General features: G+C 43.0%; 2 protein-coding genes across 13 annotated transcripts in view, besides 9 other annotated features; one reads left to right on the forward strand and one right to left on the reverse strand.

Moving 5' to 3' along the window:
* Positions 10511-21026, reverse strand: SHOX2 (SHOX homeobox 2). Of its 7 annotated transcripts, none has more exons than XM_006713727.4 (6): positions 20285-21026; positions 19664-19735; positions 17284-17492; positions 14860-14917; positions 14466-14554; positions 10511-12890 (listed from the first exon to the last, which is right to left on the reverse strand). In XM_006713727.4, the coding sequence occupies exons 1-6, from the start codon at positions 20628-20630 to the stop codon at positions 12633-12635; spliced, it is 1032 nt and encodes a 343-aa protein (XP_006713790.1). In that variant the 5' UTR covers positions 20631-21026; the 3' UTR covers positions 10511-12632. The 7 variants fall into 7 exon arrangements, with proteins under 7 accessions (XP_006713790.1, XP_006713791.1, XP_016862542.1 ...); XM_006713728.4 differs by lacking the exon at positions 20285-21026 and adding an exon at positions 18607-18748 and having other exon boundaries at positions 19664-20047; XM_017007053.2 differs by lacking the exon at positions 20285-21026 and adding an exon at positions 17833-18748 and having other exon boundaries at positions 19664-20047.
* Positions 12604-12773: an enhancer, noted in NCBI's record as "active region_20743". NCBI's record gives its function as "activates an Ori minimal core promoter by ATAC-STARR-seq in GM12878 lymphoblastoid cells {active_cell/tissue: GM12878}" and the evidence as "EXISTENCE:reporter gene assay evidence [ECO:0000049][PMID:35858748]".
* Positions 17532-18139: an enhancer, noted in NCBI's record as "H3K4me1 hESC enhancer chr3:157820715-157821322 (GRCh37/hg19 assembly coordinates)". NCBI's record gives its function as "activates a minimal SCP1, AML or CMV promoter by ChIP-STARR-seq in naive H9 embryonic stem cells {active_cell/tissue: H9 hESC(naive)}" and the evidence as "EXISTENCE:reporter gene assay evidence [ECO:0000049][PMID:30033119]".
* Positions 20416-20465: a silencer, noted in NCBI's record as "silent region_14847". NCBI's record gives its function as "represses an Ori minimal core promoter by ATAC-STARR-seq in GM12878 lymphoblastoid cells {active_cell/tissue: GM12878}" and the evidence as "EXISTENCE:reporter gene assay evidence [ECO:0000049][PMID:35858748]".
* Positions 21214-21717: an enhancer, noted in NCBI's record as "H3K4me1 hESC enhancer chr3:157824397-157824900 (GRCh37/hg19 assembly coordinates)". NCBI's record gives its function as "activates a minimal SCP1, AML or CMV promoter by ChIP-STARR-seq in naive H9 embryonic stem cells {active_cell/tissue: H9 hESC(naive)}" and the evidence as "EXISTENCE:reporter gene assay evidence [ECO:0000049][PMID:30033119]".
* Positions 24356-24857: an enhancer, noted in NCBI's record as "H3K27ac hESC enhancer chr3:157827539-157828040 (GRCh37/hg19 assembly coordinates)". NCBI's record gives its function as "activates a minimal SCP1, AML or CMV promoter by ChIP-STARR-seq in naive and primed H9 embryonic stem cells {active_cell/tissue: H9 hESC(naive and primed)}" and the evidence as "EXISTENCE:reporter gene assay evidence [ECO:0000049][PMID:30033119]".
* Positions 24356-25357: a biological region, named in NCBI's record as "H3K27ac hESC enhancers GRCh37_chr3:157827539-157828040 and GRCh37_chr3:157828041-157828540".
* Positions 24659-25008: an enhancer, noted in NCBI's record as "active region_20744". NCBI's record gives its function as "activates an Ori minimal core promoter by ATAC-STARR-seq in GM12878 lymphoblastoid cells {active_cell/tissue: GM12878}" and the evidence as "EXISTENCE:reporter gene assay evidence [ECO:0000049][PMID:35858748]".
* Positions 24695-27539, forward strand: part of RSRC1 (arginine and serine rich coiled-coil 1) — a 435642-nt gene continuing 432797 nt past the window's right edge. For 2 of the 6 annotated variants that reach the window (NM_001271838.2, XM_047448273.1), the window contains exon 1: positions 24695-24829. The gene's annotated coding sequence lies outside the window, so the exon portion shown is untranslated. Of the gene's footprint in view, positions 24830-24984; positions 25211-27539 lie in introns of those variants that run through there. The other 4 variants (XM_047448275.1, XM_047448274.1, NM_016625.4 and 1 more) reach the window with 3 other exon arrangements.
* Positions 24858-25357: an enhancer, noted in NCBI's record as "H3K27ac hESC enhancer chr3:157828041-157828540 (GRCh37/hg19 assembly coordinates)". NCBI's record gives its function as "activates a minimal SCP1, AML or CMV promoter by ChIP-STARR-seq in primed H9 embryonic stem cells {active_cell/tissue: H9 hESC(primed)}" and the evidence as "EXISTENCE:reporter gene assay evidence [ECO:0000049][PMID:30033119]".
* Positions 25219-25268: an enhancer, noted in NCBI's record as "active region_20745". NCBI's record gives its function as "activates an Ori minimal core promoter by ATAC-STARR-seq in GM12878 lymphoblastoid cells {active_cell/tissue: GM12878}" and the evidence as "EXISTENCE:reporter gene assay evidence [ECO:0000049][PMID:35858748]".

Genomic DNA, 27539 nt, shown 5'->3' on the forward strand with positions numbered 1-27539 from the left:
TCTCAGTTTCTGTGCACAGAAATTACCTCCCCAAACCCTTGAAAGCAAATATTAGTAAGCACAGCTCATCTATATCAGTGAGATGACAGAAGCATCAAAAGCTTAAGCTGTATCCAAAGATTACATGAGTCAACTTACTGTACATGCACAGACATTTTACTGTTCTGTAGGCATGCTGTTGCAAGCATAATATCCATTTAACATATGGTAAAGATAGGGAACTGTGAAATGCACCTAGAGAAAAAAACAGCTAATGACAAAGAGCAGGTAAGTGAACACTTCAAACCTCAAAACATATACCAATCAGCAAGTCAGAATAACATCTCTCCCAGGATATGAACAAAAATGACTAACACAGATTTTATTGCTTACATCTTTTAAATCATAATAACTGAAAAGGTTATATATAGATCTAATCCAAGTGAACCTAGAGTCACAAAGTGTTACCACTAGAAGAATAATTGTATCAGATGCCTAACTAATAAGTATTTTATCAAGACCTGGCAAATAAAGTTGAGAGGGGAAATTCTAAAAGGTGACAGAATCATGGGCAATAATAATGGAGGCTTATAAAACACATTCCATGGTTGATAAAGTGGTTGACTTCTTGAGAGAGCTGTAAAATTATCAGGGAAAGGAGAGCAGATGTTACACATTTGGACTTGGTAAAGCATTCGATGCACTGCCTCATGAAAAGTGACTTGAAAAATTAGTCCAAATTGGCTTGGATCTGATCAGTGTCACACAGATTGAAAACTGCCTGAAAATCAGTAAACAAAAGATCTTAACAAATGGCTATATATCCACTTGGGGTAGAGATCAGCCACTGGAATTGGTGTTAAATCTGGTTTTAGTTAATGGTCTTATGAATAGCTTCTTAAAATAAACAATTTTAATAGAATTTTGAAATGCTGCTGCATTGGGAGACAATGCTTACAAAGGAGAGAATTGAAAATGATAGTGTTAGAGAGAAGAGTTAAATGCACAGGAAATAAAGTGAAATTTAGCTTGTAAAAATTCACTACAGAAAATAAGATGTGACAATAAAATAATGATTCTTATTTTTTTTAACATAGATACCAGAACTTACAGATACAAATAAACCTTGTTTTTCAAAGTAGTCACCCTGAGAAACCAAACACAGTCCAGCAATACTGTCACAGTTTAAAATGTTTCTGGGGAATTCATCTTTGAAATTGCCTCAAGCAAGTAAGTGCCAGTAAACTTTAGAAACCTTTATGAGCCATATAAGAAAATGTGTCTTATCACAAAACAACCATGCTTAATTTTTGTCCCACACTTCGTTTGTAATAATAATAATAATAATAAAATTATACTCCCTAGCTTCTTCATCAGACTTAAGGCCAACAGCCTTTGGCTAGTTCCAACACTAAATCCACCCTCAGAGAGCTAAGATTTCTCTCTACTAAAATTATCTTTAAAAAATACTAGACATATCCATTTCAGTCTTATTCATTCCACTAACATTTATGACAACCTATTATATATCTATCCCTACTACAGGCATAGTTAAAGATATTGTGTGTTCAGTTCCAGATGACCACAATAAAGTATCATGATACATGAGTCATATGAATTGCTTTATTTCCTAGTGCATATAAAGTTATGTTTACACTATACTGTAATCTAAGACTACAATTGCATTATGTCTAAAACAAGGATGTACATACCTTAATCAAAAAATACCTTTTTTGCTAAAAATGCTAATGATCATCTGAGCCTTTAGTGAGTCATAACCATTTTGCCGACGAAGGGCCTTGCCTGTATATTGATGGCTGCTGACTGATAAAGGTGGTGGTTACTGAAGGTGGTTGAGGTTGCTGTGGCAATTTCTTAAAATAAGACAACAATGAAGTTTTCCACATCAGGTGACCCTTCCTTTCACAAAAAATTTCTCTGTAGCACATGATGCTGTTGGATAGCATTCTAAATCCCTTATTGTCACTTCAAGAATGTTCATAGTATCTTCAACAGGAATAAATTCCATCTCAAGAAATTATTTCTTTTGGTCATCCATAAGAAACAACTCCTTATCCATCAAATTAATTATGAGATTGCATACATTCAGTCATATCTTGAGGCTCCACTTCTAATTCTAGTTATCTTACTATTTCTAGCACATCTGCAGTGACTTCCTCCACTGAAGTCTTCAGCCCCTCACAGTCATCCATGAGGGTTAGAATCAACTTCTTCCAAACTCCTGTTAGTGTTGATATTTTGACCTGTCATGAATCAGGAATGTTCTTAATGGCATCTAGAATGGTAAATCCTTTCCACAAGGTTTTCAGTTAACTTTGCCCAGATCCATCAGAGGAATCATTGTCTATCATAGCTATAGCCTTACAAAATGTATTTCTTAAATAATAAAACTTAAAAGCAAAAAATATTCCTTAATCCATGGACTGCAGAATAAATGTGGTGTTAACAGGCATGAAAACAACATTAATCTCTTTGTACATCTCCATCAGAGCTCTTGGGTGACCAAGTGCTTTGTCAATGATCAGTACTCTTTTGAAAGATACCTTGTACTCGGCCATGAGAAATTAATATCTTCTGTGAAGAAGGCAGAAGCATTCCAAATCATTCTGAGGATTATTCTTTACTAATGTAGCTTTTGCAGCTTTTAATATTTAGATAACACAGGGTCTGGTGAGTAGGAGTCTCCAAAGTTTAGCCTACCTGATTGTCTTCTTTTCTTTATTCTTTCTACACTTCCAACTTCCTCTGCCTTCCAACCCCATCCCATGCCAACCATGTCCTTCCCTGCCTTTCAGCTACCACTGCCTCCAACAATGACAGACCTCAAGGGAAGTCAGAAAAGGATAGTCTGACAGTTAAAGCAGAAGAAGGAAAAGAGTCTAAGCACCCAGTAGGTATTTAATAAATATCTGTTTCATAAATAAATAAATGAGTTATGTGCAGCTAGGCATCTAGAATGAGTAACTTGGGAGAGAGAAGGAAGACAGAAGGATGATCTGGGAGAAATGGGAAGTGGCTCAAGACAAAAATACAAAAAATTAGCCAGGCGAGGTGGCTGGCGCCCATAGTCCCAGCTACGCGGGAGGCTGAGGCAGGAGAATGGCGTGAACCCCAGGAGGAGGAGCCTGCAGTGAGCCGAGATCACGCCACTGCACTCCAGCCTGGGCGACAGCGAGATTCTGTCTCAAAAAAAAAAAAAAAAAGAGAGCTTTCCATGGGGTGGGTAGAAAAAGAAAACTTCTCCTTTAAGTAGTGAAGAGCTATGAAGGAGAGGGTCATAGAAATTGACACTATTTGGGAGACTTTCCTTCCCTCTCTGGTTGGACCATATTTCAGTCAAAGAGCATAGTCATGCCTTTTTATATATTCAGTCCACAAACCTACTTACTGTTTTTCTCATTCTGTACCCAATTAGGTAGGAAGAGAAGCATGGGATGATGGGATGGCTGGGGTAGTGTGGGGCTAGAGGATGGGATTAGGGAGTGAGACAAGGCTAAACCCATCTCACTGTGCCACTAATCTCAGGAGTTATCATGTTATCCAGAAATTCCTAACCCCACTTGATTCTATGAGCAGCTCTCTGGTGAACAGAGTTCATGGTATGAAAGAGATAATCAACTCAGTGTGCAGATCCATTGTTTTGTCACTGATACAATGGCAGACATTCCAAAAATGAATCTTCACCTTGCCTGTCAAAGCCTATCTATTCTAATTCCCCACCCTGATCTTGGAAAACTACAAAAAGGACCAATTACCCTCTGAGTTAGTCAGAGCCTTATTTGTACTCAATGAGGAATCACATACAGGTACACAACCCTTCCAACAGCATAACTGGTACTGACTATTAACCTAGATCAATAGTCTCAACAGAAAAGGTCAAAGGTCCAATGGGCTCTGGGAACCCCAGACCACATTACTCTCCACCTTGACCAACTTGACAGACAAGCTCAATTGCCCAGGCTGTTCCCTTTCAGTCAGTGCATTAGCAAAGAACTTCAGAGCTTGAAACTAACAGTCCTTTTCTTTATATTAAATACCAAAAAAGGTAAATAATAATAAGCAGAAGATGACAAAGAAGGAATAAGAACAAAGAGAATAAAACAAGACAAAGATTTCCATTGCCGACTCACTTTTTATAAAAGAATATACATAATTTTGCAGATTTCCTCTATAGGAGGCTTCATTTTATAATGAGAGATTTGTGGGAATTCTGCTATATGGCATGTAGAAATCTGTATGGCTGAGTAACAGCGTACTCGAGGGTATGGCTAAATATCTTGGCCCTGAGTTTTGAGGGGACTCTTGCTACTGAACACTTAGAAGGTCCCCTGGCATTAAAAAATGACAAGAAGCTCTTACACATATAAACAATTCAGAAACTGCCTACATTTGTTTTCTATTGCTGCTACCACACATTATCATAAATTTAGTGTCTTAAAACAATACAACTTGATTATTTTGCAGTTCTGTAGCCTAGAATTCCTACACAAGTTTCACTGTACTAAAATCACGGTATAGAAAGGGCTGCATTCCTTCTGCACACTCTGGGTGAATTTCTTGCCTTACCTTTTTCATCTTCTAGAGGCCACTTGCACTCCCTGCCTCCTCCAGCTTCAAAGCCAGAAACTTTGCATCTCTCTGAACATTCTTCCTTAGTCACATCTCTCTGAGACTTTCCTCTTTGGCCTCCCTCTTTTAAGTACCCACGTAATTACAGGGGATGCACCCAAATAATCCAGGATACATTCCCTATTTTAAGGTCAACTGACTTGCAAACTTAATCCCCCTTTGTCATGTAAGCCAACATATTTACAGGTTACAGGGATCAGGATGTGGATATCTTTGGAGGGGGCATTATTTTGTCTAACACACTTCTCTGTTACTACCAAGGCAAATCAGAGGACCTGCCTTTTTCTTTCCAAAGCTTCCTTTGATGGCTATTCTTACCTAATCTCACCTGTCTAAAAAGTTTTTAAAGGAAGTCTAGAACTGAAACTCACCCAGGGAGAATCCTGGGCCCTTTTAGGCAAGCACTGGGCAAGACTAATTTTAATGGAAATTATGTAAGCCTTAAAAGAAACACAACTGCTGACAAGTGAGAATTTCAGTAAATAAATATATTGCACACAAGACAGATAATTACATTTTAAGCCAGTAATGCCAGTAAACATAATACAAAACAATGTAGCACAAGTACTGAAAATTTGGATAGACTAATAGACTTTTTTGAAGTCATTTTTAAGGGTAGTTTATTTTATTCTTCCTTTCCACGGAAGCATAGAAATGTATTCAATAAATATGCAACAGAAGGACAATCAATCTAATATCAAAGTGACTAGAGAGTTAATGCCAGGGCTCCATGGGTATGCTGACATTCCAGAATAGAGAGGACTGAAGGTCAGAGACTCTGGGTAACCTGCACATTAAGAACGTCCTCAAGTTATCGGGGGGAAAGATAGAGTCCTTTCTGTTCTACACAAAGGGGCAGATCTAAAATCACAGTCCCTCAAAATCTCTAAAAATTTTTGCAAGATTTGAAGAGAGCTTTGTTCCAAACTCCAGTGCACACAATATAAACACACATTATCAATACTTACAATAAGAGATTGGAATTAAAGTGCACACCACCTCCCAAAGTTTTTCAAAACTGCTTCTAATCACAAAAAGGTAAATTAAAAATCCTCTCTATGTTACAGTAGTTTAAAAGGTAAATAATGGAAGTAGAAAGGAGATGTACATTTGTTGAAACCTGTTATGTACCAGGCACCTTACATAACTTATTTTTATTTGATCCTCACAATAATTGGCAAGGTGTGTGCTGCAGGACACTAAGAGGTCATAGATTTTAGGAGGCTAAGAAATGACCTAAAACTTTACATCTAATAGTTGGTATAGCAAAGATTTGAAGTCAAGAATATCTGCCTCTAAAAATTAGCCGTATACTATGACAACACATCCCAAATAAAGATGTATAAAAAGTACTTGGCTCTTCATAGATATTATATAAAATATGGGACAATATTAGTGATATACCTAAATTTAGACATTAGAAAGAAGTCCTTCTTAATTTACTCTGTAATTGTAACTCAGTTGTTCATCTTACAGGTCCCTATAGTAATAATTAAACATTCCTTTCTTTGTTTTATATGTGTTTTCAAACTGCTATTAAAGATCCTTGGTCAGCAGCCTTTATATCTTTTGGCGTTTTGCTGCTAATGCTCGGTAAACATGGGCAGCCAAGGAAAATGCAGATGGTGCTATGGAACACAAACCACGACAACATATGGTATACATTTAGTCCTAACAAAGTGCGCTTCTTAACCTCTGGGTGTCGCTTCACCATTCCTTTATAAGACTACTCATTTCCAGGGAAGGTTTAGTTTCCAAAACCAGGGCAACAGGCCCACATGTGTTATATGGCCATTCAGATGCACAGATTATGTGTCCTAATACCTTTAAGCAAGTGCATTTAGCACATGCTTCCTAGCACTATCATGTGTATTTATGAACTGTTTTGCCCAGATGGTAAGCTCCTCGAGGACAAGTGCCATGCCTGAAATCTCACCTTATTAACTGTGCATGGCAGAGTAACAATGTTATCTATCTTGCATATAGAGACACACAACCTATAAATTGCTCTTCTAGGTAAACCTCCTAACTACACTGCTACATTGTGACAATTGTCACATCTTCTAGATGAGGCTCACACAGGCTAAGCAATTAGCCAGAATCACAAACTAACAGGCAATGTTTTCTTCTTGCCCACAAGAGAAAGCTTTTCTTGTCTTGCAACACTTTATTGTTTTTTTCTTTTAAGGTTTTTATTACAAAGGTCAATGTCTATTGGCCTTTTAATAAAAGTAATTATTATTTAGTACTTAGTATACATATGCAAGGCATTGTTCTAAGGGTTTTACAAATATTAACTCATTTAATCCTCCTAACCATTCCATGAGATAGACACTATTTTTATCCACATTTTACAGATAAGGAAACTGAGGGACAGAGAGATTAACTTGTCCAAAATCAGAGGACTGGTAAACAGTAGCAGTGAAATTTGAATCCAGCAGTGAAGCATAGCTCCACAGTGTGTGCTCTTAAACATACACTATTCTGCTTGAATAAGAGTCTACAAAGATCCTTACTCAGGACATATGAGGAGTTGTTCAGCAAGAAAAGAAGCATGTTTACTCCTCCCTATTTGATGTATTTGATTATATTCTAAAACCTTTCCTCATGCCAATAGAACTCCGCGTATTATACTAAACTTTCCTGCACCGAAGGCATATGTAATGGTTACCTTGACTGACATGTAAAATACCCAAAACAAAATACCCCGAGACTCGAGGATTTTTTGTTTCATGAATTAGACACCAAAAAAAAAATTGTCTAGGCATCAGAAGTGTTATACACTCACATCTGTAAGTCTTTCTTGGGATTTTCAGATTTCTTATACAAGATTTTTTTTTGTCTGAAATATTTCAGTGCTCACTCAATGCCTGAGCTTGAAAATTATCTAATCCTTTTTAATTTTTTCATTTTCAGCTACTTTGCCTTCAGGCATAGGGCAGGGCAAGCACTTGCTTTCAATATGATGTTTAACACTTTTTATGTTTTTATTTTCGTCATCTTGAAAACATGCTAGTAAACATCCAAACATACTGTAAAGATTTAAAATTTGGGGTGTGTATACGTATATCAACAGGAGTTATGAATTATGTATATTGCAGGCCTATATAAATTAGATTTTGAAGAACAAGCATCACAGTAATCAAGCGGGTCATAATAAGACATTCCATGTGAAATGTAAAAACTACCTTGAATAAATTATCTGTAAGTTAACATTCTCATTAGAATGACATATTTATTATTTCTGGGTTTGTGATATTGCTTTAATGTATTTTGGCTAACTGTTTTAATGGCATATTAAGAAACCATTTCAGGCCTTTTTTCCCCGTTGGAATTTGCAGACTTTTATTTCCGTTTGAACTAAAATAATATAATATTAAAAACAATCCCCCACTTCCCAATGTACAATACCATTTTCTTCTGCCCAGAAATATTTAATTAAAGCAGGATATAACCTCAGTAATTATTTTTACACAGAATGACTCTTAAATTAATAGTCAGTTGTATGACTAAAAATTGGGAGACTGACAATCAAAACAATCTTAAATGCTTTGTTTATGTGATGAAAATGAGTGATCCTTTAATTCCCTCACACACATTAAACTGATTTCACAGATTTTCTGTACTGGTGTTTAACATAGTCAAGTGCTTGAGGTTATGTAAAATAAACAATCTTGAGATCTTATTGCAAATGTTTGCAATTTATGATGTAAACTGATTTGTGAAGAAAAAACAGGATCCTATGTCGCTGAAGCCAAAGAGGCATTTTTCAGAAATCAAAATAGTTCCGAAATTTGAGCATTGCATTATACTAAAGTATTACCATCTGAGGACCCAAAAAAGTTATAAATCTGGGGAAAAACTCAAAATAGATGTACATCAGTTCAGCTCCAAGCAAAGGCACCGATCTTACTATCTTACTGTGTCTCTTGTATCATAGGGTCCTTAACACTAATGATGTCTTAAACAATCTCTTTTAACTCAGTTTTTCCCAGTCATTGATTTTGCAACTCGGGAAGGTTTTGCATGCCCAAAAGATTTGGGGAGCAGAGGATGGGGGTGTCCTTTATTAATTATATTAGGATTATTGAGTTTCGACCCAAACTACAAGCATGTTGGGCCTTATTTAAATTTAAAGTGAATTCCTCAGACCCCTTCTTGGGATGGTTCGGGGAACTACGAGTTTGGAACTCTTGTTCACACACCGAGGCGCCTGCCCCAGAGTTTGGACACTGGCATTCCGGGAGAGCAGGCCTTGCGGGAGTCTGGACCCGAAGGGCGAGACTCCACAGGGCCAAGGAAAGCGGCCTCTGTCCTCCGTTAGTCTTGGGGGAGCAGACGCAAGAGGAGGCAAGGGCGCCGCGAGCTCCCCGGATGCACTGGTCCCACAGGCCGTGCCCGAGTGGAGCACTGCGAATGGGGCCAAGAAATTTTGGCCTTTCTCGCCGGACCTGGCTGCCTCCGCGGGCCTCTCCGCCTACCGCGCTCCCGCCGCGGCCCGACTCCCGCGGGTCTCCGCGCCGAACCCACCTGGCTCCTATCGCACGGGACATTCCCGACCCACCCACGCCGCGTCACTGAGCCTCTGTACCGATACCCGGCGCCTCCGCCAGCAGGGCCTGGACGCACCGCCTCCTTTGACCTCGGGCTTCCCCCGCGCTCCGCTGCTTGGGGCAGACTGGCCCCGAGAGGGAGCCACCATCTCCCCTGCTCCAGGGTCTCCAGGGTCCGAACCCGTGTTGGGATCTGGGTTAGGATTAGGGTTTGGAGCTTGGAGCCTGCCTGTTAGGACCCCCGGCCCCGGCGCCGACTGGAGCTCGCTGGAGGCCACAGGACCACGGCGGATGGCCTGGCTGCTTCAGGGCGTACCATGCCCGCAGGCAGATGTTTATTATTAAAAACTACCGACGTTCATCAACCAGGAGACCCGCAAGGCCTGCGCACTGAATACGGCCCAAATCCTGTTCAGTGGTCTTTGAAAGTTAAAAGAAAGAAACCTATCGCCCACGTCTATGCTGAGGAACAGCTTTGAATACGAGCTAAGACCTGGGAGAGGGCCAAGTGGGGGTGGTGGGGAACACTGCTGGAGGATGTGGGGCTTTGGCAGGGGTTTTACGCACCCTCCAGCACGAGGGTGGGGGGTCCCAGGGGACGCTCAGGACTCTTTCAGTCTTTGCGGAAGGTCCCGTCATCACAAGAGCCCGCGCGGGAAGGAAAGTTCCTGCCTTGGACATGGTCAGGGCCGAGTCTTCAAAGTCTCCAACTATCCCCACACAGGCAGCACCTTTGGGCTTTACTAGTGGGATTTCTTCCAGAAGGGGGCCACGACATGGGGAGAGAGAGCTCCTCATTATTTTCAAGGCCAGGCTTTTCCTAAACCCGATTCTGGCTTCCACCTTCTAAATTTAACCAATGAAGAAGCTGCTTCAGCCAACCCTAAACAGGAGTGTCAGATGGGGAATCCTCCCTCCACAGTGCCCTGGCCTGCCCGCCTTTGCGGCTCTTTTCCCGCTCCGAAGTCAGCACCTGCCCCGCTCCAGAGAGGGTCAACGAACTGGGACTGATTGTCGATTATGCCATACCAAACCCAGGTTGATTTCGCTCCGCAGGATCCCTCCTTCCTTCCTCCCAAAAGTGTCCCCAGATAAAGACTGGAATTATAGCAAAACGAATAACGAGAGTCCATCTTGGGGAAGGAAGTTACTCTATCCTATGTTATTTTACTTCTTATCTGTTCTTTCATTAATTTGGTATAACCCTGTTTCTATGCTGGGTGGATAAAATGGAGGGGGCCGGCGGAAATGCGCTCAGCGCTAACGACAGCCACAGAGCCACCCTTCTTACTGCCCCTTGACTGCGGCACGTAAGAGCAGAGGCAAGCGCTTTTCCAAGTTGGTATATTCGAGAGAGTGATACGCATTAATCAAAAGGGAAAGACTATCCCGGATATTTTAATAGTAACAGGAACAAAGATGACTCGAACCCCATCAAATGAAACGATATTTTCATTCAATTGATCGCAAAGTGTCTTCAATTAATAACTTGGCACTTATTTAAAAGGTTTAACAGAATTGGAGGCGACACATTTTGTACTGACAACACGTCATGAGATAACATCTTTTGTTTAAAATAACTTAATACACTAGAAAAAAATATGTCAAATATAAATAATTTTGTTTTCATGGAGAACAAATAGTTACAAAGCTCAACCGCATACCAAAGTTCAGTTAGAAGAGCTTTTCCTCTTTCTTGTAAATTAGAAGGTAAAACAAAAACAAAAACAAAACCCCACAAACTTAGGCTTGCTAGCGAATTGGGATACAGACTGGCTTAGTCCAAGGTATCCCAGTTTAAATAGCTACATGAATTGAAACAAACAACCAAAAGAAAAAAAAAAACAAAAAAGAAACAAACAAACAAAAAAAAAAGGTTACTTGAATAGATACACCTTTGTGAGATAAAATGCAAATGTTGAAAGTCAGTCCACACATTATAGTCAAAATAAACTTTGTTCGTGTGTATCAACATATCTTACACAAACCTAGTGCCTGTATCTAGCTGGGTGTTATTTAAGGTGAATTTGACGGGATAGAGAGGGGGAAATAAACCACTGTCTTCAAATAGGACTTCAGGAAACCAACAAGAAGGAACACAAGAAAAGGGGAATGGTGGGAACTAATACTGATTGAGCGCCTACTGTGTCTGGCACAGCGAGGCGCTGTACCTTCATTATTTCATTTGGTGGTCTTGTTTTCTTTTTCCTTTCCCCACATATTCTGCCCACCTCTGTCTTCTTAGGACAATGAGTGTAATTTTTTCCCTTTCTGACTTTTTTCTTTTGTTCCCCAGGATCAAAGACAGGGCAAATATATATATATATATATATATATATATATATATATATATATGGCAAATATATGATATATATATATGGATATATATATATCAATTTCCAGATACTTTTGGTATTGTTTTTCATAGTGAAGATGAAAATGGAGTGAGTGCATGGGAGATAAGGGGGTGGGAGGAGACACACCATCAATGGAATACAAGTAACATGCAAACCGGAATTTACTGTCAGCAGTCCAGACAGTTTTGCCATAATAATTTCTCAGAGAAATCATTGTCTGTGGCATTTTTTTGTGTTAATATTATTTTTCTCTCTCCTCGTTTTAATATTTTCTCTTTTCTTGCTCTTCCATACATGGTGGGTTTAAACTCAAAGCATCTGATTCAACGTAAAAGGAGGCCCGCCTCTCTCATCAAATTTCTCGTGTTAACGTGAACTTCGCAGAAAAAGGTCAGTTTCAAAACCTGTGAACTTCCCAGCTGCGCACTTTTTTCATCTTAGTTTTTTAAATAAGTATACCTCTTCTTTCTGCTTTGCCTTCTTAGCGCATTTTTAAAAACACACATTTAAGTTGGTAACTCCCCCCAGTCTCTCGAGAATCGTCTGGGTTGTTTTTCCATATTTTTAAATGTATAAAATACTTTAATTTTAAAATTTGTTTTTGCTCCTTGGTTCTCCAATTTCAGCTTCTGCCAAATAGCAGTTAAGAAATAAGTTCCCTTCCTCTTTTTCTCTCCCGTTTGTCTTTCGATTTTTTTGTTTGCTCATTTTTTCATTGTTAACAAGATTTTTTTTTCTATGCAAGAGTCCATCGTTGCAGCTTTGCGGTGAGCCAAACTCCGCGGTTCCAGCACTCCCCTGTCCAGTCTCTCTCCAGACTCCCCCAAACCCGCTCCTACAAAACCCAATTCTAGGCCCTCGAGTAGGAAAACGGGCAGGAGCCACGGAGCCTGCGTGCCTCGTGAGATCCCTGGTCCTGCGTGGAGTCTGGCTTTCCGAGTCCAAGATGCGATAGGGGACGAGGGATGGTCAGTGAGGCGGGAAGAGGGCCGGCTCCCGAGGTCTCAAAGGGGTAACGGAGAAGCAGCGGGGCGCGGAGGGCGTGCAGGCTGAGTGCCGCGGGACAGGCGCGACATTGGTGCTGGCGTTGGCGTCACAGACCCAGGGCTGCGGCGTGCTTTTTGGCTTTCAGTCTGAGATCGGCGATGCTGGAGTTCTTGCTGGTGGTCTTGGCGGCTGCTGCGGCCGCCACTACCGAGGCGGCGGAAGCCGAATCCGCGGCCAGCGTGGCGAGCGGCAGTCCGAAGGGCGGTGCTGGGAACATCATGTAGGGCGCGTGCGCGGCCAGGTGCGGATGCAGGTGGTGGTGCGCGTGCGCCACAGCGCTGTCCAGCTGCAGCTGCGCCTGAACCTGAAAGGACAAGGGCGTCACGTTGCAATGACTATCCTAGGGTGACAACAGAATAGAAACAGAGCATTAACGGCGTCCAGCTTGGCCAGAGAGAGAGTTGGGTTGTGTTTGGGCACGGGGAGAGGGCATTTGGCTGTGCATCTTGTTCCGACAGTGACCTTCTCAGCCTGTTGCTGAATCTGGGGTTCCACATGGATACTCCAGTGTCCCCTGGGTCTCCGAAACTCGCTTAGGGTAGGCTTATTTCCCCGGACCCCGGGAACCCCCTTCTGCAGGAATGTGGCCGTCTCCCCTGGGAACTGGGCTGAAATGGTATATTGGAAAGACTGCGGGTGAGGACCCTTACCCTCTTCTCTTGATGCTGCCATGCATCTCTTACCCCACTACCAAAACAACGGAGTATCAACAAGCAAACTACGCAACTTTTTAATGTCATTCAGGGAAGTTACTCCATCTTCACCACAATAGGCACAATTGTGAGTCGGTACTTCTAACCTTTATTGCCATAACAATTACCCAGGGATCTCGTTAAAATTCAGATTCTGATTCGCAAGGTCTAGGTTGGGGCCTGAGATTCTGAATTTCTAACAATCTCCCAGACGGTGTTGTTGCTGCTGGCCCAAAGATTACCTTTTGAGTAGTAAAGGTCTCCTTTTAAAGTCACCCCTCCCTCTTTCTTCAGTCATTCTCTCTTGTTTCCAAAGCCAAGCATCAGGATGCCAGAGTCCTGTGGCACCAAGAGAGCTAAGATCTCCCTAACACCGACTCTCAATTCATGGTCACACCTATCTGTCTCCCCGGTCCAAGTCACTGGAGACTGAGAGCTAATTCATGACATCACAGGCATGCCAAGCAGGGGTCCTGGCTGAGGATAGGGAAGGTCAGACACTGGTTGGGAAAGGATTTCGCCCTCAGGCTTGGAAAGTGGGGAGTTCAGAGCACTGGGATTTCCCAGGATTAAATCATTGCTGCAGGCTGTCCTTTTAAAATGTACTCTTAAAGGTTTCTTTATGGCTAAGGGATTGCAAAGGCAGGGCAGCCCTGGGAAGACCAAGACTTCTCTCTTTACCAGAGATGAAGCTTTGTTTGCAGAAACAGATTTAAAAACAAAAGAACGAAAAAACAAAAGTATGAGCTGGGAGTACTTGTGTTTATTTTTCTTCTGTCAGAGTTATTTAATGTGACTAAGAGGTAGAAAATACCTAGAAAAGTATCTAGAGGGTTGCCTTAGAAATACCTTAGGACTAACCTCTGTATTGGATTTGACAAAATCTTAATCAAAAGGCTTTTCCTTCCTCTCTCTCTAAGGGCAATCTTTAGTGTATTTTTAAAGGACCAGTTACTGCCCCCAGGCCCCTTCAGGGATTCCCATGAGGACAGAAGGGACTAGGCATTCAGGCCTTTAATACCGTATAGGTTTTTAAAGGGTAGTGGGTCCACTATATCATCTCAAAATGATTCTCCAACTATGCAGACATTGACATCTGGGCTCAGAGACAGGTGATGTTCAACAGTTCAAGCAAACATTCAGGTATTTTCATATTTAAAAACAGCTTGAAACTAGGCTGTACTTGCCTGCTGAAATGGCATCCTTAAAGCACCTACGTTGACATAAGGTGCGACTCTACAAGCTTCAAACTGGCTGGCGGCCCCTATGAGAACACCTGTAAAAAGTACAAGAGAAAAATAATGTGAGGTTAACGTTTGTAGCATTTTTCAGGGTTCCAAAGGGTACAAGACAGAACGAATTCCTTTGAAAATGGACTATTATCTTTCTAAACTGCATCCAAAATTTAAATAAATGTAACTTACTCCCAAACTTTAGGACTCCATTAACAGCCTTTGAAGATTATTAAGTCAAGAACTATTGTCATTTTTGAGGTTCCTTTTTTTCTGTCATTGTAATAGTAATATTCACTACTTCTCTCTTTGCTCAGACTATCAAATGTTCCTTGTATAAGAAGCATACCTTTATGGAGTTGATTTTCTTGTTTTCTACATTTAGCTCTTCGATTTTGAAACCAAACCTATAGGTTGGAGGGGGAAAAAAAATAAAACCTAGATGTTATGACTAAAAATTTTTTTAAATTACAAAAGTACAAAGAGAAAAGAGTCGTGGTTTAGACAAGAATTGGGAGATACAGCAAGCAATCTTTGAATTGTATAAAACAGCCTCAAATTCCAAAGTTAAACATGTAAATTAACTACAGAAATAGAAAGATAGATTTTATAGACTTTCACAAGATAGATTACTATTAGTCCTGATTTCATCTTTTCACATAACAGAGTCCCCATGGCCTAAAACTCTGCTTGGTACCTGATACCAACATGATAATGGTTTAGATATTTGCCCAGTTAAGACCTGAGAAGAATGTGTTCATTAATAGCCTGTAATGTTAATTAGCTTCATCTTAAAGAAAAACCAAACACCAGAGCAAATAATGACTCCTTTGCGGAGAAGGAGTTGTAAGGGTTGGGGAGAGGTAATTAGTGTCATAAAAGCCTCACTACAAAGAAGTTTAGAATTTCTCTGTTCTGCTGTGCAGCAGAGTGAAACACAGTAGCAGAATAATTGTGCACCATTATCATGATAATCTAATTTGCTTCTTTAGAAAAAGCCACTGTTTGCAGTTAGGATAGTAGGAAAACATCTAGAAAATAACTAAAATGTAAATAAAAGTATGAAACAACAATAAAGTTCACTTCTTAAGAGAAAAAAAGAAGAGCACTCAGCGAAAGGAGAATGAAGTATATATAAAGCAAGTAACTCTTAGGTACTTTGTTCTCCTGGATGTTACCTGCTTAAACTTGACAACTTTTACAGGCAGTATGACAGATTTTTTAAAATTCAAATAAAGCTTGCTTTTGTATTCCACTTTCAATAATAAAGCATATTGATTGACTCACAAATTAAAGTTTTTAAAACCCCATTAAAGTAAAAATACTGCTTCAGAGCTTTCATTGGTATGTTTTTGAAAGCAAGTGTCATAGTCAATGTAAATCTTCAAAAATTTCTCTGCTATTTAGTACAACAGAGGGTGGATTTTGTGCCAGGGTGGCATCCTTTGTGTAATTCACATGGCCTGAGGCTTCTTGCCTTTTTTTCCCCTAGAAGAGTTGGAATTAAGATACTAATAATCATAACTGTAATAATTATCATCATGTTTTTAAGGGGTTGCTGAGCCTCTGGAGATCTCAGTGCACAGAGCGAAGCAGGAGAGGCTTAAAAAGGAAGGCTCTGCTGCTGATGCTGTGATGACCAAGGCAGCCTATTATTACTTTTCCTCTTCAACGTGACTGCTCTGTTTTTTTTTTTCCTGATCCTGTTACAAGATGTGGGGAAGCCCCTTAAGAATTGTGCATAGTTCGCTACAGATGGTGGTCTCTGTGCCCAGAGACCGAAAGAGTATCTGTTACAGCGATACTTTGTAACAGCTGCAGATGTGCGGGCCTAAAACTGCTCCATGTGTTCAAACCAATAATAACTATCATTTTATTCTATTTTATTATCTGAGCGGAAATACAATCTGAAACATTTAAATTTGTTCCCCCTAAAGCTAGAAGGATATGTGTATGTGAATGTACACAATTTGCTCCTTTAAATGCCCCCAAAGCCTATTTTTGCTATTACATTTGCCTCCACAACCAATAAAGAAAATCTGTTTCAGTCCTAACTTCATTGGGTATGGCACGTGCTGGAGGGCAGGCTTTGGAAATATAAATACTAATATATGTGGTTTGTTTTAAAATCTAATGTATTTAGGGTCAGTTTCGTTGCCTTGGTTAAATGAATGAACAAAGAGTGACCAAAATGCGTTTATTTCTCCGCTATTTCACACACAGTTTGAGATCGACCGCTAACAGCAGACTGTAAATTTCTGCACTTAACAGTTACTAATTTTCTTTATAGTCTGCACATCTATAAACCTAATTGGGATATCCGCTTGACAAACCTAGACCCTGCAGAGCAGACTTTCAAGGAAATCCAACTCCAGAGAACAAAATACTCTTTGGAACTTTTAAGGCATCCAGAGATAAAACGTTTTCTGTGGGATTTTTTTTTAAGCCTTATAAAAGTAGGCCCATTAGGATTAAACCACATTAAAGCCAGTGCGAGGCAAGGGGGGTGTGGTTTATAGAAACTCTGGGAGAAAGCCCAGCACAGCTTTCTTCTTCTGGGAACATATGTTAGGATGGAAAAAAAAAAAAGGAGGGGAGTGCTATAGGACTAAGATCTACTTTGGAAAATAAGACCTCTAGTAAAGATATCTCTTTCCTTCTCATCTTACACCAGACACTAGAAGCACCACCTCCCGAGTGTGTCCCCCAAGCCTCTTTCCAACCCCAGGCTCTCTCTGCTCCCTGGGCCCTCGACCTCCTGGCAGCTGGGTACCTGCACTCGGGCCTCCGACAGGCCCAGTCGCTGGCTCAGTTCCTCTCGCATGAAGGCGTCGGGATAGTGGGTCTCGTCAAAAAGCCTCTCCAGCTCATTGAGTTGTTCCAGGGTGAAATTGGTCCGACTTCGCCTCTGCTTGATTTTGGTCTGGCCTTCGTCCTCCATCCCTTTCGCATCCTCTTTGCGATCTTTCAGCTCCGGGGACACTGGAGGGGGCACCCCAGCGGGGCCACACGTGCATCCACACGAACACACACACACACGCACACACACACGGACGAAAACAGCACAGCAAATCCTGTTACCAGATTTGTCGCAAAAAAGAATAGAGAATCCTTCCCCCTCGTGGAATCCTGGTCCGGCTTCTCAACCCACCCGGAGGAAGAATATCCCGGAGAAGCGCAAAGGTCAAGTCTGAGCGGCCGCCTGGGGCAAGGTGGGCAGTCATCCACCACCTCCTTCACAAACGTACCTCGACTCACCGCCTCACTATTCACCCCCCAGTCACCGGCCTTCCCCAGCAAACACCAAATGGTTTCCACTCACTTTCGCACTCACTTGCTCCGCAGCACTCACAGAAATCAAAGGCGCAGCGCCAGGCCTCTCACAGAGCAAAGTCTGGACATAAGGGCGCGGCAAGGCCACCCACTGGCCTCTCACACCGGCCATTCCCAGAAGGCTGGCTCGTTCTCAGGCCAGCTCTCACCACCGCTGGCTCTCTGCCTACCGCAAACTTGCTGGTCTAATTTAGGAACAATTGGGCCGAAAGGTATCAGCGAGAGCAACAGACCCCGGTGTTGTGCCGCACAGGGAGCCGCATCCGCAGACGCCCCTCGCTGCCCCTGGGCTCGGGCCAAACCCTGCATAAGGTCCCCTGGACAGCCAGGTAATCTCCGTCCCGCCTGCCCGACCGGGGTCGCACGAGCACAGGCGCCCACGCCATGTTGGCTGCCCAAAGGGCTCGCCGCCCAAGCCGGGCCAGAAGGCAGGAGGCGGAAAACCAGCCTCCGGTGGCGGGCGAAAGCAACCGCTCTTTCTGTTCTCTCTTCGCCCTCCCTCGTGGAAACGCAGACTCGACCCTAAACGCTTAACCCACAGAGATCAACAGGTTCAAGCGGAATATTCGCGATCCTCGGTTTCTATTGGTTGCTCAAAGCCTTTTCATGCAACCAGCAGCTCGGATGTTTAATAAAATATGAATTTTTCTGCTCTGGGTTTGCACACATCCGTTGCCACTTTCCTGTCCTTCTCCTCCCTTTAAAAACAGGAGCTCTTCTAGTGTGAGCATATACAGCCACCATATATATATCCCCCTGGAACCTTTATCCTCTGCGCCCGAATCAGAGACTCCGGGTTTTAAGAAGTCAAAGCTGAGTTTAGATAGTCGAGGCTGTTTGCAGTTCTTCCCAGCGCAGGATCCAGGCCAGCATGGGTGTTAAAAATCATTTCCGGAAGAGCCGGTCTGCAGAGAAATTAATACTTGCCCTGAGCTTGGAAATCAACAATCCCAGGAACTGCGCCCGCCGGGGGTTCAGACCTGAACCTCGCCGTCAGGCGCGCTGGCGAACCTGTAGTTCGGGCCTGTAGTTGTGGACTCATGGCCGGGAGGCTGCACTGGGCACCTTGACGGTAACTCCACCACTTTACAAATTTAGGAAGACCTGGTGCTGGTTTGGAGGAAGAAGAGTCGCTAGATCTCGGCCCTGCCGGGCATTCTAGCTACGGTGATCTTAAATATTGCCGTATTTTCTAGTTCTCAGAGTTAGTTTTGTGGACATTTGTCCTTTCTTTAGGAAGGAACATTATAGTAAACATTATGGGCCAATTTAATAGCAAAGTATTTTTACTGATATTGTATTGAAATTTAAATATGAAAACACACCCTTCAAATTCTGCCAATGAGGTGGGAAGGCTTTGTCTATTACATGTCATCTACACAGTGGATGCCACTCAAAGTTTTGGGGCTTCGAGGAGATGTCCAAATTTCAAGTTGATCCATAGACTTAATAAAATCTCTATTTTTGTCCCCAAATTTCCAATTACTGATCTAAACAGGAACAGACCGTGTCATAAACAACTTAATTGCTTGCTTAAATATGTGATTCCACGCATGCCACATATTTTCTTAATTGGAAAAATATGGCAGTACACCAGTTACTGCAGGCACCAAGTGCCAAATCAATTTTATTGTTGAACTCCTTTGAATTGGTATAGAACGCTCTGCCATTGAGATAAAGACGTTTCCTAACACTGAGCTAGCACCAAAGGATTTTTGCTCTAAGAGAACCGAGTACTGGGTGATTGAAAACACTAAAGGAATTGTGTAAATATAGATCCCCACCTCCCCCGCCGCCCCCCCCCCCCGCCCCCAACACACCAAGAAACCGAAACGCCTCGCCCGGGAGAAGCAGCGTAGCCTGGACCTCAGCTTTCGTTGGCTTCCTTCTACCTTGAAAGAGAATGGGAAGTTTTGGCCCCTAAGATCCAAAGATTCAGGGGCTCTGCGGAGTTCGAGGGGTCTTGGCGGCCCCAAACACCTAGGCGACCGGAGGGTTAAGCTTTCCACCTCTGCCCCTTCTCCCTCCCGGCAAACTCTGCGCTAGAGGCTAGCTTTAGTCCCGCCGTCTGGTTCAGCACCCCCTCCTGCAGCCCGGCCCCGCGAACTTCCACGTCCGCCTGCGGGCCATCCGGGCTGCGGGCCCATCCTCCCGCTGGTGAAAAATGCATTTCGGTGGAATGGGAACATCTGGGAAGGGCGCGCACAAACCCCACACGCTTCCCCCCACGCCACCCCCACAACACACTAGGACCCCACCCATGACCGAGCATACCACCGGACCCCCACCCTTCCACTATCACTCTAGCTGACAAAGCTGGGGTCCAGGGCCCTCTCCGTGTCCCTCTCCCCTCCCCGCTGGGCCTCGGAGTCCTCTCCCGCCCGAGAGGAGTCCGGAAGGCGGGAAGGGGAACCGCTGCCGGGGGTCAGTCAGGTCGTTACCCTCCGTCAGTCGCGGGCTGCCCGGCTCCCTGCTTCTCTCGGCGGCGCCCATGTCCAGCTCCCGGACGGGAGAGCGCCCTCCTCCAGCTCCTCCGCCTGCTCCTCCTCCTCCTACACCTCCTCCGCCTCCTCCGCCGCCGCCTCCGCCTCCTCCGCCGCCGCCTCCGCCGGCCGCCCGGACTGCCGGGCTGCTGCGGTCGTCGCGGCCCGCCTCGGTGCAGCCGGTCGGCTCCTTGGCCCCGCGCAGCGGCCCGCTCTCCAGCACCTCCCGGTACGTGATCGCCTCCTTCTTCTCCTTCACTTTCTGGTCAAAAGACTTGGAGACGAACGCCGTAAGTTCTTCCATCGCCGCCGCACGTCAGCCCGGCGCTCAACCTCTGCCAGCAGAGCCCCGCTCTTTTTTTCCTTCTTCTTTTTTTACTGCTCCAGCCCCCCCAATAATAACACATCAATGGGACAGGAGGTGGGGGAGGAGAGGGAGGAGGAGAAAGAAGAAGAAAAAGAGGAGAAGAAAGAAGAAAGAGGAGGAGAAGTAGAAGGAGAAAAAGAAGTAAGAAGAGGAGGAGGAGGAAGAAGAGGAAGAGGGGGAGAAGGGTGAAGAGGAGAGGGAGGAGGAGGAGGAGAAGAGAAGGGGCGGGGGCTGCCGGAGGGAAATGGGAACTGATGCTTCCCTGCCGGAGCGCGCTTGTTCAATGTTAAGATCTTTGACAATTCTTCCTGCGGAGAGTTCAGATCTGATAGCGACGCTGCGCTTGAAGTCCCACTATTTATACTTCCTAACGGCGGCCTCTTGTTTTGAGTAAATTACCTCCCCTCGCAACTCGGAGTGAGCCCCCTTCCCGGGTAGCAGTCGCGCCTCTACCGGGGGTTGGGGAGGGGAAAAGGAGAGAAACAGAGAGAGAGAGAGAGAGAGAGAGAGAGAGAGAGAGAGAGAGAGAGAGAAGAGGAGAGAGAGAGATTGGAGTTCGGGCGGGCTGGGGCTGGAGTGGTAGGGCAGCACAGGGGGACCGGAGGGGGCGGGGAGAGAAGGCCGGTCCCCGGCCGCTCAGGTTTTCAGATAGCCCCTGCCGCCTGTGCTCTTGGCCATTAATCCAGGATTGACAAGAATCCCTAATTAATTTAATTAGGCGTGGATTTTGCGTTGGTGTCACGACTTAGTTAAACACTGGGGAGCTGGATAGACCCCGCGGGGTGGGGCCAAGAGGAAACTGACAAGTGCGCAGCTCTTAGAGTCAGTCAGGTATCCCGACACTGCATCCTTCCCTACAGCCTTGCTTCGAGTCAGGGTGCCTCGCAATGCTCAGCTTCGCATTGCTTTTCCTCGTCCCTGCCCTGCATCAACCGCCCAGCAGTTTACAGGCCCCGCATCCCATTCCCGCATCCTGACCCCGCATCCCAATTCTGCATCCCCGCCTCTCCCTCACAATCCCACCCCTGCCGGCCGTAGCTCCACCGCCCAGCATCATCCTGCCCAGAGACAGGGTTGCCTGCACCTTCTCCGACCCGCGCAGCTTCTCTTAGGAGCTTCCCGGCTCGCAGGCAGGCTGAGTCCGGGTCTTCTCCAAGCTCCTCGCCCCTCGGTCCGTGTTATTCGCTCTATTATTCGTGTCCTGGAGCCCAGCTGACTCCTCTATGGACAGACCCCGCTAAAAGGGACCAGTCGATTTAACAAGTTTCCCCAGCAGCTGTTAGCTGACAGATCTCATTTTAAAGTGTTTCCTTAGCGCCCGGTCAAGGACAGCTCGACTTCGTTCGTTTCCTCTCTGAGGTCTCAGAACTCCCACCCTTCTCCCTTACTCTCTGCACTCGGACCCCTCTATGGTGAATTACAGGACTTCTTCTTTAGCATCTTGGGAAACATCCGAGTTTATTTACTAATTTGAAAAACAAGAGATTATCCCTCTTCGAGTCTGAAAAAAAAATCGACGTTAAGTTTGTACCCCCTCTAATTTCATTTATTACGGAGAGCTAAAAAAGAGACGCTCGCCAGGAGTAAAGGTCTCTCTGCCTACCCCCCCCACCACCCCGCTTACGATTTAAAATTCTATTTCTGGGCTATTTTCATCGGAACGGTTTGTTACGTTAGAGGAACATCTATATTCCTGAGTCATTTGTCTGTATTGTGCCGGACAGGGCTTGCTGTGAGAAGTGTGGCTATGCAAATACATACTCACAAAAGAATATTTACATATGATGTTATATTTAAGTGTGTAAACAAATATACCTCTAAGTGTGGCTTAGGGGACATTTTCAAGTACTCTGAATATTAATGCAGACTTTCTGGAAGTTAAAGGTAACTTGATCATTATTTTGGATCTAATACTCTTAGTAAAAATAAGAGGAATTACAGAACATTAATATGTATATCTTCCGTATATTGGTTAAGGCATCAAAACAAATTAGCAGATAATTTAAGAAGTTCCGTCAAAACAACCTGAAACACTTGCAAAAAGAGAACACAATTATAACTTAATATATTAGTGTTTCTCAAATAGATGTAGATAGAAGCTGGATATAACCTTATGTTATACTACAATACTCACATTAAAATGTTCATGTTTGGTGAGTTTAAGGATTATGTATATCATGCTTTTTAGAAACGTTGTTTTCCCTTTTTAAAACATTTCATTTTTTGCCACTTTTAGGAGAGCTAATGTCTATAATTTTTCCGCAGCTATAGCTTTTAGGTATGAATACATTGTTATCAGTACTTGCTTTTGTTTTGTTACACCACAAAAGGGACAAAGTTTCAAAGTTATACGAATTTAGAAACAATTTCACATTGAGTCTTGGGTTACTCTTTGTAACTACTTTCTGATATTATCAGAGGAAAATAATCATACAACTTTAGTCCTTTATGAAAATCTGTTTTTAAGATTATTTAGCAGAAGGGCCAGTAATAGGGAGAGCTAAGAGGATACGGTGCTCAAGGTGCTCTCAAACTGAGGTGTTAAATACATATTCACAAATAACTCAAAAATAACCACTGTTAGAAGTCGGTTAAGGAATCAGGAGACCCACCAGCTACTTGTTTGCCTTTTTAAGTACATGACTTTTAGGTTTGAAGTCATATTTCATCTACTGAGCTTGAGGGAAAGATGACCACTTTGAAGGTAATCAGGGAAGTCACAGACACAACTATTGTGTAATTCAAACCAATAAATTTTCCCATGATCTCAGCTTTTTGGCTCATTGCATATTTAGGAATAGTAGTGTTGATAACAGATGGAGCCATGAGAAATCTTTAGTGTCTGACCACAGATTTCCACTGGCCTAAGGGAAGTTACTTTAAAAAATATTTCAAGGTTTTAAATTCATACATTAATAAATGCTCACAAAGTTCCAATGATGTTGTTTCATTAAACAGCAAATATCTTCCAGAAACAGGGCATTTCAAAATACAGTTTTTGTTTAAAAAAAAAAAAAAGCATTTATGGTAAAGCTCAGCTGACAGTCTGTGGACAGATGCACAGGTTCCAATAAAATTCAGGACCCCAAGGGTTTCCCCAGCTCTTGAATTATTTAAAATATACACGTAGTGTTGTAGTAGTTAAGTTTTAAAACGGTGCCTCAAAACTGGCTAGTTAAGGTACATTATTTACGAAAAATATATTGTGGAGGTGATTTTTCACCATCTCAAATGTCTGCGGAAAACTGTAGCTTGGTTATCTAGCAGTGGTGAATGAGTTGATTCTCATAGTCGACCAAAACCCAGGCCAACAATTTATTTATCTTTTTAGCTTTGCTTAAGAGTAAATGAGGAAAAAATTTCCATGTAAGGAAAAATAAGTAATGTAGTATGAATTACAGAAAATGCTGAGTCTCTTTAATTTCTATTGGTTTAAATAAAAAAACTCCACACACCTATAAATTTGAGTTCTCTTTCAGAAGAAACCGCTCCCCGCCTCGCCTCAGGCAGCTCTCTCCTATTCCTCTACTAACCAGTTACTTTAATCTGAGAAACTAATTTGCACTCAACTTGTGAGTGCCTTCACCTTCAGGGCAGAAGAAACACCGACTTTTAATGCATTTTTGCAAATAAATCATTACAATTTAATCACACACGACTCTATACAGACACACTCCCATGATTTATTATCGTTGGGCGAGTTTCCCCCTCCCCCAGCGTGAGATAACCAATTTTGTTTCGGGTAGGTGTCATAAACAAAACTTCCTACGATGCAGATTTGTTTACTGATTACCCATGACGATAACGACGACTACTAAGACAATAACACTCTCCAGTCCCACCTTTATTGCTTTTGGTAACAATAAAATCAAAATAAACAGGCACGCAAAACAAACGCCAAACAAAAAATCGGCCGCGTTACAATCTACTCCCTCGGCATTCCCAGCGCCTGGCAGCGTCCATCGATGCACTCGATATCTCGGCTGAAGCTGCCTGGCGCTAGAACCAGGAAGGCGCTGAGCTTAAACTGAAGCAAGTTCGGTGGACGCCGGCGGCGCCCTGATCTAAAGAAACGACTCAGGGACTGCGGCGCTTGCACGTCAACGGGAGGTGTGAGCCCAAAGGTCTGGACCCAGGTGATGCCCACGACCAGGGCCTGGGGAGCGGCAGCCGTGGCTGCGGAGCTCCGAGGCCCTGATCCGGCGAGAGGCGACGCGGGGCCTGGCGCAGTTTGCGGCTCAGTGTCTGTGGAGGGTGGGCTGCGGCCTCGGGGCGTGCGCAGTGTCACCGTGCGCATGCGTCCCGCACCTGGGAGGCTCCGGACTCCTTGGGTCAAGGCTGGTGGCTGTAGGGTGGGTGGGTGGCCGCAGGCCTCAAGCTTGGCCTTCTGTCTTGAGGACATGTCGGAGAGTTCGCCGACTCCTCCCCTCGCCCCACGTTCCTGGTTCTTCATAGCTGCTTTTGGGTTTCCTGGCTCATCTTGCAATATAAGCCTGGCGCTTCCTCACTAGCTCTAGGTAGGGTGGAGCAAGAGGGAGGCTGGATTCTGGTGCCCTCTATCCCATCCACTCCACTGTCCCTGCCTTAGATCCAGCTCTCTTTCTGATTCCGCCCTACCCTTTCTGGCTCACACTGGCTTGCTGAGAGAAGTGGTGCAGGGTGAAATAGATGTTCCTCTCTTGAAATATAAATATGCTCGCCTTAAACACACTATATATTCCTTTGACTTCTGTACTGGTGGCATGTGACCAAGAGCATATGGCTCTGTTTACTTTTGCAAGATGTTACAATGCACCGTAAGGCATGTTGCCTGCTCTTGATTTTAGGTTAACCTTGACGTAATTTCTCTCTCAGAGGTTGTGTATCTTTAAATGCACACTGGAAACCTAAACAAAAAAATATTTTTTTACACTTTCAGAATTAGCAGTAACCCAATTGTGTTCCAGCTAACTAGGTAGTAGATAAATAAATTCAAATGTCTTATGTTGTCACAAGAAAGCATTCGAGTTGTCATCTTTGAACTTAGATGTATTATAAAAGTTCTAAGTGAAGGAGGTAAGCAGAGTTCCCAGGTTTAAGATTTGGAGCAGGTGTGACAGTTGCAACCTTGGGGGAAACTAGGTATCCTTTAAGAGCCTCTCTAGTCTTAGAGTTTATAAATATTCACTTTCTTTGCAGGCAAAGATTTCATGCTAAGTGATATAACACTTTATGTTTTTCAATAAGAGGGCTAAAAATGTCAGAATCTGAAACGACAAAAACAGCTGGCACCTTCTGTTAATTGGCCTTGCCAACTCAACCAGTCTCACAAAGAGGGGTGTTATGAATTGGAAAAGTTCTGAAAGCGGGTTGTTTATAGTAGATCTATAGTTGTATTTCCTGCTTTCATGTTCAAACCATTGGGGATAAATTCCTATGATTGATCATGCTTTTTTAAAAAGAGAGATGCTTGCAAGTTTTTAATTGTGATGGGAGAAGTGTTTTGACAGAATTCTTTATCTCTTTTGAGATAAAGAGTTGTGTACTTGTTTATGGATTTCTTAATATGTTAGTTTTCACCCCAGTTTTACTTTTCTTCTTTGAGGTGGATTTCCCATTGAAATAACCATTGTTTTCACTTTTTCTGGCCATGTGTCCAGAATCAAGAAAATTATAGTTTGATATACTGAGTGAGTAGTGGAGAAGTAATTATAAGCTATCATGTCCTTTGGAAATCTTTGTTCTTCAAACTGATTGCCTGTTTTCTGAAAGAGATAACTGCTTCTTGTACCCTTATCAATAACTGGACAAAGGAACTACTTGTGTAGTCCTTTGAGTTCTCTTTTCTTGAATGACCACATGTTGGCTTTACCTCTTCAATCAGGCACGTGAACTTTACATTAAGATATTTCTGTAAATTGATCTCCTCCTGTAGTCATTACATGCCATGGCTTCAGTTCTGTAGTGGGAGTTGTTGGGTGAGTTTTGCAACCACGAGGCTACAACCAGGAAGAACTAGAGTGAGAACAGGAAACCAAGAGCTATAGGAGCTCTGTCCCATGTTGTCTCTTTCACCTACAGATAGATTGAAAATTGTCAGCTTGTAGGACTCTAAAAGCCTGTGCTCCATTCATCATTCATTGCCCTTATCAGAAAGAACTATCAATGTGTCTTTCCATTCATTGCACCTTACTGGTGGAGTTAAGTATAAAGAATTCTTCCTTACTAGGACTATGTAATATAAATTGATTACCATGTCTTGAATTGGCAAGTATATTTAATTACATGCTGATGATATTATGGAAATCCAGGGGTAAGTTTATGTCTGTGGTGGTGAGTAGGACTTCAGTACCTGTCATTTATAGAGAAGACAATTTTGGGATCTACTTTGTGATTTGCTGTTAGTATTCACTCCCTTTTGTGAATAAATGTTTGAAGTTAACTATAACAAAGAAATATGGTGACCTTTTGCTTTCTTTTATTGGGATTAATTATATTTCAGTGTAATTTTTCTGAAATGTAAATGTGTCACTTGAAATATTTATAGTTTTGTCACACTGGTTTTTCAAACTTTTCTTGGTTTCTCTAAGGAAGGATTTATTTTAAGTTCTGGGGTACATGTGCAGGATGTGGAGGTTTATTACATAAGTAAACATGTGCCATGGTGGTTTACTGCACCTAAATATTAAGCCCAGCATGCGTTATCTATTTTTCCTGATGCTCTCCCTTCCCCCATGCCCCCACCTCAGGCCCCATTGTGTGTTGTTCCCCTCCCAGGTCCATGTGTTCTCAATATTCAGCTCCCACTTATGAGTGAGAATATGCGGTGTTTGGTTTTCTCTTCCTGCGTTAGTTTGATGAGTATAA

The sequence above is a fragment of the Homo sapiens genome, chromosome 3 (genome assembly GCF_000001405.40).
Source record: "Homo sapiens chromosome 3, GRCh38.p14 Primary Assembly".
NCBI classification, from domain to species: Eukaryota; Metazoa; Chordata; class Mammalia; order Primates; family Hominidae; genus Homo; species Homo sapiens.